We start from the raw sequence: 14,145 nt of genomic DNA, 5'->3' as shown, positions 1-14,145 counted from the left end.
CTTACAAAGGAGCCATACTTGATTGGATTGGTATGTAGAGCAACCTATGCCCCCAGGAATCATTGCAAACAATAGAGTAATCAGTTAGCATTAGTGGAGTTTAATATCTGAGTTGATCAGGAAAAGAGACTACTAATATCAGTGTCATCCCAAGTGACTACAGACATACTCAAAACTGCACCTCCCTGAGAAACGACCTCAGAGGTTTACCACTGTTGGAGGTAAACAGACATCGCTAAAATAATCCAGCCACTCACTAAAACATAAAGAAGCAAATAACAATACAAGCTAAGCATTGGGGAAGGGCTACTACCCACAGTTGCTGCAATACATATGATCTAAATTGTCCAACTTCCAAAAGAAAGTGATGAGGCATGCAATGAAACAGAAAAATATGAGCCATATACCAGAAAAAGCAGAAAACATAAATTTGTCTGTGAGAATGACAAAACATCAGATTTAAGAGAAAAAGACTTCAAAATAGCCATTATAATTATGTTCAAATAACTAAGAGAAAGCATGATAAAAGGCATAAAGTATAATGATAACATTGCATCAAAGATAATACAGGTTGAGTATACCTAATCTGAAAATCTGAAATCTAAAATGCTTTAAAATCCAAAGTGTTTTGAACACTGACATGATGCTCAAAGGAATGCTTCACTGGGGCATTTTCAATTTTGAATTTTTTGATTAAGAATGCTGAATCAGTCAACAGATAATGCAAATATTCCAAAATCCACCCAACCCAAATCTGAAATCTGAAATACTTCTGCTCTTAAGCATTTCAGATAAGGGATATTCAACCTGTGTTAATAAATAGAAATAAATTATAAAAGAGAATGAAATGGAAATTCTGGAGTTGAAAAATATAATAACTGAAATTTTAAAATTCACTAGGTGATTCAACAGAGATTTAAACTGACAAAAGAGAAAATTGGTGAACTTGAGCATAAATTTATAGAGATTATACAAGCTGAAGAACAGAGATAAAAAGGAATAAAGAAAAATGATGGCAGACTGAGAAAAATATGGGACAATGTCACCTGTACCATGTAGGCATACCTGAAGGTGTAGAGAGAAAAAAAGGAAGAAAAAAATTCAAGAAAACACTGTCAGAAAGCTTCTCAAATTTATTGAGAAACACTAACTCACACATCTAGAATATTCAACTAGGACAAACACAAGAGATCAACAAACAGATACATCATAGTAAAAATGCTGAAAGTCAAAGGCAAGAAGAAAACCCTGAATGCAGAAGGAGAAAAGCTCATCACTTACGATGGAACCCCAATAATATTAACAGCTGACTTCTCAACAGAAACAGTGAAAGACAGAAAGCAGTGGGATGAAACAGTCAAAGTGCCGAAAACAAAAAATTCAACCAATAATTCTACATCCGGCAAAGCTACATTTCATTATCTTTCGAAAATGAGAGTGAAGTAAGACTTTCTAAAATAAATAAAAACTGGTCATTTGTTGCTACCAGATTAATCTTACAAGACATACTGAAGAAAGTCCTTCAGACAAAAAGTAAGTAACCCTAGACACTAATTTGAATTCACACACACACACAAACAAAGAACGTTGGTAAAGATAATTTTGTAATTTTATAAAACAGCATAAAAGCACATTTTATCATTTCTTGTATGTTATTTAAAATCAATTGTATAAAATAATATGTATATGTGCAATGTAATTTTGGGCTTATCACATATAAATATGCAACATATGGATAATATATTTGCCGATACTAGCACAACAGAGGTGACAGGGAGCAAAACTGTGTTAGGATAGATGGTAAATCAATAACTATAACAATGCATTGTTGGTTTGTAATATCAATAGAGGTAATGATATATATAAAAATAATACCAAAAAAGGGGAAAATGAAATAAAGCTCTAATGGAATCATTATTCCATTTAATGTTTCCATATATAACTGCAATTAAGAAAGTGAAAATCTGAAGGTGATTCTGATAAATTAAGATACATGTGGTAAACCCTAGAGGAACTATTTTAAAAAAAACCTCAAAACTTTAATGAAATAAATATTAGATAAACTAAAATGCTACATTAGAAAACATCCACTTAATGCAAAAACAAGCAGTGAAGGAAGAATAAAGGAATAAAAATTGCATGAGACATAGAAAACAAAAACTAAAATGGCACATAAAAATCCTACTATGTCAATAATAGAACTAAATGTGAATGGAGTAAACAATCAAAAGTTAGATTTTGTCACACAGTACTTTAAAAAATGATCCATCTATATGCTGTCTATAAGAGACACACTTTATATTCAGAGATAAAAATCCATTGAAAATAAAAGGATGAAAGAAGACATAAAAAGATATGGAAAAATATTAAAGAACAATGTCTCTAGCCAATGGGCTTAAGTATTACATATAAACAGCATACCCTTCTGCCTGGGCAAAAGAGACTTCTGCCATATGCGTATACTTTAAAGTATACGCCCCAAATATCACACCAAAAAAAGCCCAAGTTAATAAATATAGGGCACCTTAATCAGAACATGACCCTAAGCAGCCACCTTAGGACTAATGTAGTTGAGGCCCCAGGTAAATGCTTCTCTCCATTTTTTGCCTTATGTCTTCAAAGCAAAGGGTGACTGCATGGAAAGGCAATGAAGATCTGCATGCTGTGCTTCTGTCAACGTTAGAGATAGACATGGCTTCAGAACACAGAGAGTTTTAAGCAGTGGAAGCATTTAGTCAAAATAAGTAAGTACAAGACAAAAATTAATTTTCTCTCAGAAAACATAATGACAGCAAGTCCTTGGGTAACAAAACATCATTTTCCAGTGGTGCCAACCATTCATTTTCTTGTTTTCTGTGTGCTACCAGAAGTATTCATGGATTTTCACATTATTAGCAATATTTGCATTTTTGTTAGGGAATATTTACAATATTAACAATAAATACTACTTTTAAATATATAAGTATATAATGCACATAATTACCCATATATATGTATACATATATATCCACACAGACATGCAGGTGCAATTCGTTACATTTGGGATTTAGATGAACGTTGAATACATCAATTCCAAGAATTGCAAATAACCTACTTTTGGTTATTTGATGCACATACGACCAACTTTTTACTTAATATGGCATTGTGAATATTATCTTTTATCACATAATATCTAACTAATTCTCTATTTTTGGACCTTTATATTTTCACCCTTTGCTTCCATAATTAGGGATGAGATAAACAGTGTTACCATCAAAGTTCTACAAGTATTCATGGGATAATATTCTAGAAATTATTTGCTGAGTTAAAGGAAACATAAAATTTTAGTGTGGGCTGTATTACAGTAATCAGTAATTATTTTAGTTTAATAAGCTTAATAAACATTTCAGTAAATGTGTCATAATTAGAGCATCTCATGAATAGCATTCTATTGTCTTTTTAAATTTTTCAGATAAATAACCAAATTTAATACATCAAAGAAGCAATCATGAATGTCAGACAATCAAATTATATCTCAGAAAATGCCTACAACTTTAGTTGCTCTAAAAAAGTGGGCATTCTTAGTCAACCATGAATCTTTTTAAAAAGATGTCCCACACACTTGGACAAAATATATACACACATGTTACATGAGCATGCATTTGTGTTTATTTATTCATTTATTTGTGAATGATTATTATAATACATACTTTGGAAAGACATTTGAGTGAGTAGTTACACCATAAAAATATGCCATGGCTTGGAGGATTTCTCCCATTTGAAGCCTCTGTAGTTCAAAGAGAGAATCTATGATTTGGGTAAATATTCATTTACAAAAAGAAACCAACAAAAACAAAATTTTTTTCTTATGATTTCTTTTTAAAGTCAAGTTTACTTTAAGTGAAAACACAATAAATATTTGGTAATAGGGAGCAGACCCAAAGTTACAGAATAAAAACTATTTAATACCAGATAACAAAACAGAGTCGTCAAAGGAAAACTCATCTTAAACTATTTATAGCATAACCTTGCCCATCTTATAAAGGCTTTTATGTGATACTTGGTTATTCATGTGATTCCTACCAACATATGTGTTTATGTTATTTTGAAGGAAACTATTCAACCAATTATATTGTTCAATTCATCTATTAAGCTTTAATGTTCTTTTACACAAAAATGTTTTTGACAAATTGGCCAGTATTTGATCTACAGTTTATATTTTGCTACTTTTTTGCAGGGAAAATTAATATTTATCTTCATGTAACACTTTACTGAACAGAACTAATAAACACTCAACAGGAGTTTCAAACTGAAGTATATATGAGATTCAAATACATTAAACAGAATTCTTTCAAAAACTTGCCAATTCACAGGTCATGTGGTTTAAATTTTTACATATGAATTTGACACTCAGCACTCTAACTTAAGCATCATAAATATGCAGAAATAGTGCACAGTATACAAAATTGGGAAGTTGCTTTCTCTCTTATGTCCATGGCCCACTCTATTAATTACACTTTGTCTTCAAAAATCTCTCTGATCTCATGCCACTGACTGAGAAATCCCCTAGTTAAATGAAACTCTAGAAGGTCATTAAAGAAGACCTCCATTTGTCACCTCATACTGTAGCTTTTAGCCTCTTCTTGGACTGTTTAAAAAATATGCTGGTGGTGACTCTAGTTCAAGTTAGGCCTCACCTGAGGCCACAAATTGTGGAGAGTCAATAATCAGTAAAGCCCACTGAGTTATAATTTGACTCAGGGAGCCCTACAACCAGAACCCAAGAACTGAGCTGACACAGGCCTACTTGGGACAACTGTTGATATGGGCATGAGGCTGTGGGAGTGCAATAGGGAAGGAGTGTTCATTTTTATAAGAAAAGCTGGTGTGAGTATTCTGTTCCTAGATGACTCAGGATTTTATCTGAATCCTAAGAAATTTTTCTGCTATAGGACCTTGGTTTCCCAAAACATCTCTAGAAGACAAATGGTTGTTCCTAATTATTGTCCTGAAATTTAGGACTCCCTTCTAACCTGGCTCCACTGTGCCCATGGCTGCTTATACTTGTTCTTGGCCTTTTTTGAAGCTTTTTTCGTTTAACCCTAAATTAGTTTCAGACTTCACTAGAATTGGAAAAGTGAAATGACTCTAGATGCCCCTCAGTCCTGCTAATGATAGCTGAATAGAAATGTCACCACTTCAATGAAATGTCTCTGGCAAAGCATCTAGCAAGACTGTGTATATTGTTTTAATTAGGCCATACTATACAAAGTCTTTTTAAAAACACTGAATTAATAGGAAAAGTAATTTTTCAGGAAACGTAATTATCTTTTGATTAACTACATATTGTTGCATTTGAAGAAAAATGTCTAATAACTACATCTTTAGACATTTTTAATCTATATTTTCATAAGGCACAGTTTTTTTTCTTCTAACACCAAGGAAATCATACTGCAAAGAAGACAGATTTTAAAAAAAACAAATAGACATTCATTTTTAACTTGTTACAAACCAAAAGCATTTAAAGCATTATAAACTTGTTGATTAGAAATAAAAATGTTTTTACATCCCTCCTGACATGCTTTGATTTTTCTCCAAACATGTGTCCCTCCCATAGCTAAGAGAAGAAAGCATGTCCAAAGTTTAAATTGCTATTTATTTGTCTTAACTAGTATGTGTTCTCCAACCTCTCAGCAAAGATGACTGACTGAAACCAGAAGCTTAAGTATGACTTTGTCACTTGGGGTGACTCAACCAAGCTCTTTTGCCTTGCATTGGGTTTTCTGTGAAATATGGAAATCATTACACCAATGATTGTGAAGGCATGATGAGACCACATTGTCTCCTTGGAAGATCTGTGGGACAGGGATGGTTAGAAGAACCCTGAATTGTACTTCCTTTCATGTGACCATAGACGGATGAGCCACTCTTTAACAAAGTGCGCCTATGGATACTGGAATTATACAGCAATAGCTAACTAAAACACATACAAAGATATCTATTCTGGTCCCAGAATTAGTAAAGTATTTACATGGGAAGATAAAAAGACATAAACTAATGATATAGCACAGCCAACTCAAGACAATTGAGGAAATAATCTGGATACAGATTTGAGGAGAGATGCTCGGCAAAGTCTATCGGAACGATAAAATAATAAATAAAAAAATTTTCCATTAAAAGAAATCAATATGAGAGAGATAAAAAGGAGATGAAAGAAAGAAAACTCTTACTTTAATTCTACCAGAATATCAAACTTAGAAATGGAGTAAAGTGAAAGTTTTCAGGGTTTAATAAAAATGAGCAATGAAAAGTTGCCTAAGATATATATATATTATATATATATTATACATACATAAGTATATATAATATGTAATATATACATATAATACATATACAACATATGTATATATTATATATACATATACAACATATGTATATATTATATATACATATACAACATATGTATATATTATATATACATATACAACATATGTATATATTATATATGCATATATTATGTAGTATATATGTATATATTATATATGTATCTATATAATATATATGTAATAGGAAGCAGGAATGAATGCACAGAAGACCTTAGAGTTTAAGGCATTATTGGTATAATGAGACACATATATATGTATATTAATATATACGTATATATAATATATACATACATAATATATACATATATAATACACATATATAATGTATGTATATAATGTATGTATATATAGTATATATGTATACACATATATATAATACACATGTATATAATACACATGTATATAATATACGTATGTATAGTATATATGTATACATAGTATATACTATATATGTATATATGTATATATTATATATACGTCTATATTAATATATGTATATATTATATATACGTCTATATTAATATACGTATATATAATATTTCTCATTACACAAATAATGCCTTAAACTCTAAGGTCTTCTGTGCATTCATTCCTGCTTCCTATTACATATATAATATATACACATATATTATATATACCTACATAATATATACACATATATTATATATACCTACATAATATATACACATATATTATATATACCTACATAATATATACACATATATTATATATACCTACATAATATATACACATATATTATATATACCTACATAATATATACACATATATTATATATACCTACATAATATATACACATATATTATATATACCTACATAATATATACACATATATTATATATACCTACATAATATATACACATATATTATATATACCCACATAATATGTACACATATATTATATATACCCACATAATATATACACATATATTATATATACCCACATAATATATACACATATATTATATATACCTATATAATATATACACATATATATGCCCATATAATATATATACGTATTATATATGCCTGTATAATATATATACCTATATAATATATATGCACATATTACATATACCTATGTAATATATATACCTATATAATATAAATGCATATATTATATATACCTATATGATATATACCTATATATACCTATGTGATATATACCTATATATACCTATGATATATACCTATATATACCGATATGATATATATCATATATACCGATATGATATATATCATATATACCTATCATATATCATATATACCTATCATATATCATATATACCTATATGATATATGCGCATATATCATATATACCTATATGATATGTGTGCATATATCATATATCTACCTATACCTATACCTATATGATATATGCGCATATACCTGTATGATATATGCGCATATATCATATATACCTATATGATATATGCGCATATATCATATATACCTATATGATATATGCATATGTCATATATACCTATATGATATATGCATATGTCATATATACCTACATGTATAATAAATAATATAAACGTGTTTAATATATACATATATGTACATGTGTAATATATACATATATAATATATACATGTATAATCTATACATATAATACATACATGTATAATATATACATATAATACATGCATGTATAATATATACATATAATACATGCATGTATAATATATACATATAATACATGCATGTATAATATATACATATAATACATGCATGTATAGTATATACATATAATACATGCATGTATAGTATATACTTATAATATATACATGTATAATATAATATATACATGTATAGTATATACATATATTATATATACATATATTATACATATAATATACAGATAGTATATATAATATATGTATATATGTAGGTATATTATTATATACCTACATATATACATATATTATATTGTATTATTATTATATTATATTAATATATAGTAATAAGTATATATTAAAAGTGTATATATAATATATATAAATAAGCATATATAAGTAAAAGAACGGGAAAAAGATAGTTTTTGTAAACCTACCCAAAGGAAAAGAAGTTGTTATATGAAAAAGACACCTGCACACACATGTTTATAGCAGCAAAATACACAACTGCAAAAATATGGAACCATCCTAAATGTCCACAACCAATGAGTGGATAAAGAAAATATGGTATATATACATCATGAAATACTACTCAGCCATAAAAAGGAACAAATTTAATGGCATTCGTGGAAACCTGGACAGAGTTGGAGACCATTATTCTATGTGAAGTAACTCATGGATGGTAAACCAAGTATCTTAGGTTCTCACTTATATGTGGGAGCTAAGCTATGAAGATGCAAAGGCATAAGAATGATATAATGGACTTTAAGGACTTGAGGGGAAGGGTTCAGATGGGTGTAAGGGAAAAAAGACTGCATATTGGGTACAGTGTACACTGCTTGTGTGACAGGTGCACCAAAATATCAGAAATAACCACTAAAGAACTTAATCTTGTAACGAAAACCACCTGTTTCCCAAAAACTATTGAAATAATTTTTTTCTTAAAAAAGCAGAAAAAAGGGAGCTAGAGTGGCTATACTAAAAAACAAATTTGACACTAAGTGAAAAATTGTTAGAAGATAAAAGGACATTATATAGCAGTAAAAGAGTCAATTCATCAAGAAGTTACAATTATAAACATGTATGCACAAAACAACAGAGCCTCCATATGGGGACAAGAGTGATTCTATTTTAGATGCTAATCTGCCATGTGACTCCTGACTAACTTTGAATCTGGGAATTCCTCCAAGATGTCTCATTGATATATTACTCCCTATGTAGAAATACCTATTTATTGTAAGTTTCACCTTTCCTCCAAAACAGCCCTTGATGTTGGATGCATCATAGGTTGTGATGCCAGTAGTATTCTTTAAGTCACCTACACATTTCTTCCAGGGATATGTACTTACCCCCCACCCAAGATATATAAGCCCTGGGCCTAGAGGGTTGCACTGCCGAATTCTTCCTGGCTTGCAGCCACCCAAGACCACATTTCTGTCTGTAAGTCCTCTAATAAATCACCATTTACTGACAAACTGGATTTGTCTGACTCATTTTTTCATTTCTTGGCTCAATCTGCATTTGGAGATCATGTTGTATATACAGCCCTTTCACAGAACACCTCAAGTATATGAAGCAAACACTGACAAAATTGAAGGAGAAATAGATAGTTCTGCAGTAATAGAGACTTCAATACCCCACTTTAAATCATGGATAAAATATAAACAGAAAACGAATAAGAAAATAGAAGACTTGAACAACTAGACCTAACACACAGAATACTCCACCCAATACATATTCTAACAACAAAATATGTATTATTCATATTTGTACATGGTATTCTTTAGGACAAATTATAGGTTAGGTCACAAAACAAGTCTCAATAATGTTAAAAGAGTTGACATTATACAAAATATCTTTTTTTTTTCTTTTGAGATGAAGTCTTGCCCTGTCACGCAGGCTGTAGTGCAATGGCAAGATCTTGGCTCACGGCAACCTCCGCCTTCCAGGTTCAAGCGATTCTCCTGCCTCAGCCTCCTGAGTAGCTGAGATTACAGGTTCAAGCCACCACACCAGACTAATTTTTTTTTTTTTGTATCTTTAGTAGAGACAGGGTTTCACCATGTTGGACAGGTTGGTCTCGAAACCCTGACCTCGTGATCCGCCTGCCTCAGCCTCCCAAAGTACTGGGATTACAGGCATGAGCCACCACACCTGGCCTACAAAATGTCTTTTTTGACCATAATGGAATGAAGTTAAAATCAACAGCAGAAGGAAAACTGGGAAATTCGCAAACATGTGGATACTAAACAATACACTCTTAAACAACCAGTGAGTCAAAGAAGATATAACAAGGGCCATAAAAATACTTGAAGATGAATCAAAACAAAATATAACAAAACTAATAGAATATATCCCACACAGTATTTAAGAGGGAAATTTATTGCAGTAAATGCCCACATTAAAAAAGAAGAAAGATCTAAATCAGTACCTAAACTTACACCTTAAGAAACTAGAACAAGAAGAGAAAATTAAACTGAAAGATACTAGAAAGAAGGAAATAATCAGAGTAGAGTTGCAGTAAATGAAATAGGGAATAGGAAAACAATAGAAAGAATTAACGAAACCAAGTTGATTTTTTTAAAACATCGACGACATTGACAAAACTTTGGCTAGACTGGCAAAAAAGAAAAAAAGAACAAATAAAATCAGAAGTGAAAAGGGGGACATTGCCACTAATCTAACAGAAATAAACTGTAAGATAATACTGAGAACAGTTATACATCAACAAATTAGATAACCAGTCTGAAATGGACAAATTCTTAGAAACACAAATTACCAAAACTGATTCAAAAAAAAACAAAAAATCTGAACAGATTGATAAGTAAAGAGATTGACTCAGTAATTTAAAATAAACAAATAACAACAACAAAAATTTCCAACAATGAAAAGCCAAGGATCAGATGCCTTTACAGATGAATTTTACCGAACATTTATAAAACTCTCCCCAAAACTAGAAATTAGAGATCTAAAGAAATGGATTGCAAAAATTTTCTCCCATTCTGTAGGTTGCCTGTTCACTCTGATGGTAGTTTCTTTTGCTGTGCAGAAGCTCTTTAGTTAAATTAGATCCCATTTGTCTATTTTGGCTTTTGTTGCCATTGCTTTTGGTGTTTTAGTCATGAAGTCCTTGCCCATGCCTATGTCCTGAATGGTATTGCCTAGGTTTTCTTCTAGGGATTTTATGGTTTTAGGTCTAACATTTAAGTCTTTAATCCATCTTGAATTAATTTTTGTGTAAGGTGTAAGGAAGGGATCCAGTTTCAGTTTATCCAGAATATACAAAGAACTTAAACAAATTGACAAGAAAAAATCAAACAACCCCATCAAAAAGTGGGCAAAGGATATGAACAGACACTTCTCAAAAGAAGACATTTATGCAGCCAACAGACACATGAAAAAATGCTCATCATCACTGGTCATCAGAGAAATGCAAATCAAAACCACAATGAGATAACATCTCACACCAGTTAGAATGGCAATCATTAAAAAGTCAGGAAACAACAGGTGCTGGAGAGGATGTGGAGAATTAGGAACACTTTTACACTGTTCGGGGAGTGTAAACTAGTTCAACCATTGTGGAAAACAGAGTAGTGATTCCTCAAGGATCTAGAACTAGAAATACCATTTGACCCAGAGATCCCATTACTGGGTATGTACCCAAAGGATTATAAATCATGCTACTATAAATATACATGCACATGTATGTTTATTGCAGCACTATTCACAATAGCAAAGACTTGTAGCCAACCCAAATGTCTATCAATGATAAACTGGTTTAAGAAAATGTGGCACATGTACACCATGGAATACTATGCAGCCATAAAAAAGGATGAGTTCATGTCCTTTGTAGGGACATGGATGAAGCTGGAAACCATCATTCTGAGCAAACTATTGCAAGGACAGAAAACCAAACACCGCATGTTCTCACTCATAGATGAGAATTGAACAATGAGAACACTTGGACACAGGGTGGGGAACATTACACACCAGGACCTGTCATGGGGTGGGGGATATGGGGGAGGGATAGCATTAGCAGGAATACCTAATGTAAATGACGAGTCAGTGGGTGCAGCACAGCAGCATGACACATGTATACATATGTAACAGATGTGCACGTTGTGCACATGTACCCTAGGACTTAAAATATAATAGTAATAATAAAAAGAAATGGAAAGTACCCCATGTTCATGAATTAGAAACTTATTTTTTAAATAGATATTTTTAAACTTCATAAATTGATCTATATATCCAACACAAAAATTGATATCAAAATTTAAATGGTCTTTACTAGAGAAATGAAAAAGCTTACCTTTAAATATGTACGGAATTGTAAAGTGTCCTAAATAGTGAAAACAATCTTAGTAAAGGAGAACAAAGTTGGAAGACTCACACTTCCTAATGTCTAAAGTTATTGCAAAACAACAGAAATCAGAACAATGACACTAGCATGAGGATAGACATATAGACCAATGGAATAAAATAGAGAGTCCAAAGTAATCCATATGTCTATGGCCAATTCATTTTTGACAAGAGTTCCATGACTAATAAGTGGGGAAATAATAGTTTCTTCAACAAATAATGATGAAACAACTGGACAGCCACCTACAAAAAAGTAAAGTTGGATCCTTACCTCACACCAGGGAAAAATTCACTCAAAAATAGATCAAAAATCTAAATAGACAGAGAAAAACATAGGGGTAAATTTCCATGACTTTGATTTGAGAATAGATTCTTAGATAAAATGCTGAAAGCCAAAGCAACAAAAGTAAAATAAATAAATTAATTAAACTATATCAAAATTTAAAACTTTTTTGGGTCAAAGGAAATTAATAAGAAAGTGAAAATATAGCCTACAGAATGGGAGAAATATCTTCAAATTATATATCTGGTAAGGGTCTAGTATTTAGACTGTATAAAAACTTTTACATTTTGATAACCAAAATACAAACAATCCAATTTTAAAATGGACAAAGGATTGACAGACAAAGTAGATACACAAATGGGCAATAGGCACATGAGAAGATGTTCAACAGCATAAGTCACAAGAGAAATCAAAACTACGATGAGTTACTGCTTCACACTCACCAGAATGGCTATAATTCAAAAAAAAGAAAAGAAAAGAATGAATTTCAGCATGGATGTGGAGAAAATGGAAGCCTTGTGCATTGCTGGTGAGCATGTAAAATGGTTCAGCCATTCTGACAGTGACTTGGGCAGTTTCTCAAAGAGTTAAATGTAGAATTACCATATGATTCATCAATTCTACTTCTAGAAATGAAAACAAGTACTCAAACAAATACATGCACATGTACATTTATAACAGCACTGTTAACAATAGCCAAAAAGTGGAAACAGCCCAAATGTTCATCAGTATATGAATGGATAAACCACTTGTGCTATACACATACAATGGAATATTATCCAGTCAAAGTACTGATGCCTGATACAATGTGGATGAGTCTTGAAAATATTATGCTAAGTAAAAAAAGCCAGACACAACAGGTTATGTATTGTGTAGTTATATTTATGTGAAGTGGCCAGAATAGGTAAATCCAGGATACAGAACATAAAATTGGTGGTGCCAGAGGTGGGAGAAATAGGGAGCAATTTCTTAATGGGTACAGGTTTTCCTTTTAGGGTGAGGAAAATGTTTTAAAATTAGTAAGGGTGGTTGTTGCACAACATTATGAATGTACAAAATGCCACTAAATTGTTCACATTAAAATGGTTACTTTTAAATTATGTCCATGTCACCTCATTTTTTTAAAAAAAGAGTGTCCAAAGGGAAGCTAGTGCATACATGTCTGCAGACAGCTGAAATAAAGCTAGAGTATTAAGATGGGAAATTAATTTTGTTTCATTGTTTCCTGGTAATGATAGCAAAATTAGTGTGATCATGTTCTGCTGATTTTGTTTGTGTATATGTTTGCATACCTTCCATTGTCATGAAATGGTAACTGGATTGAGTCACTTACCCTTGGAAGAAGTCTCATTATTGTCACTAAGACATCAAAATCCCAGCATTTTTATTTTGGAAATTGACAAACTGATTCTAAAATTAATATGGAAGTGCAAGGGACCTAGAATAGCCAAAATAACTTTTTTTGGAAGGAAGAAAATAGTTGAAAGACCAAAACTCA

The sequence above is a fragment of the Homo sapiens genome, chromosome 20 (assembly GCF_000001405.40).
Source record: "Homo sapiens chromosome 20, GRCh38.p14 Primary Assembly".
In the NCBI taxonomy this organism is placed as follows: Eukaryota; Metazoa; Chordata; class Mammalia; order Primates; family Hominidae; genus Homo; species Homo sapiens.
This window is presented reverse-complemented; position numbering follows the sequence as displayed.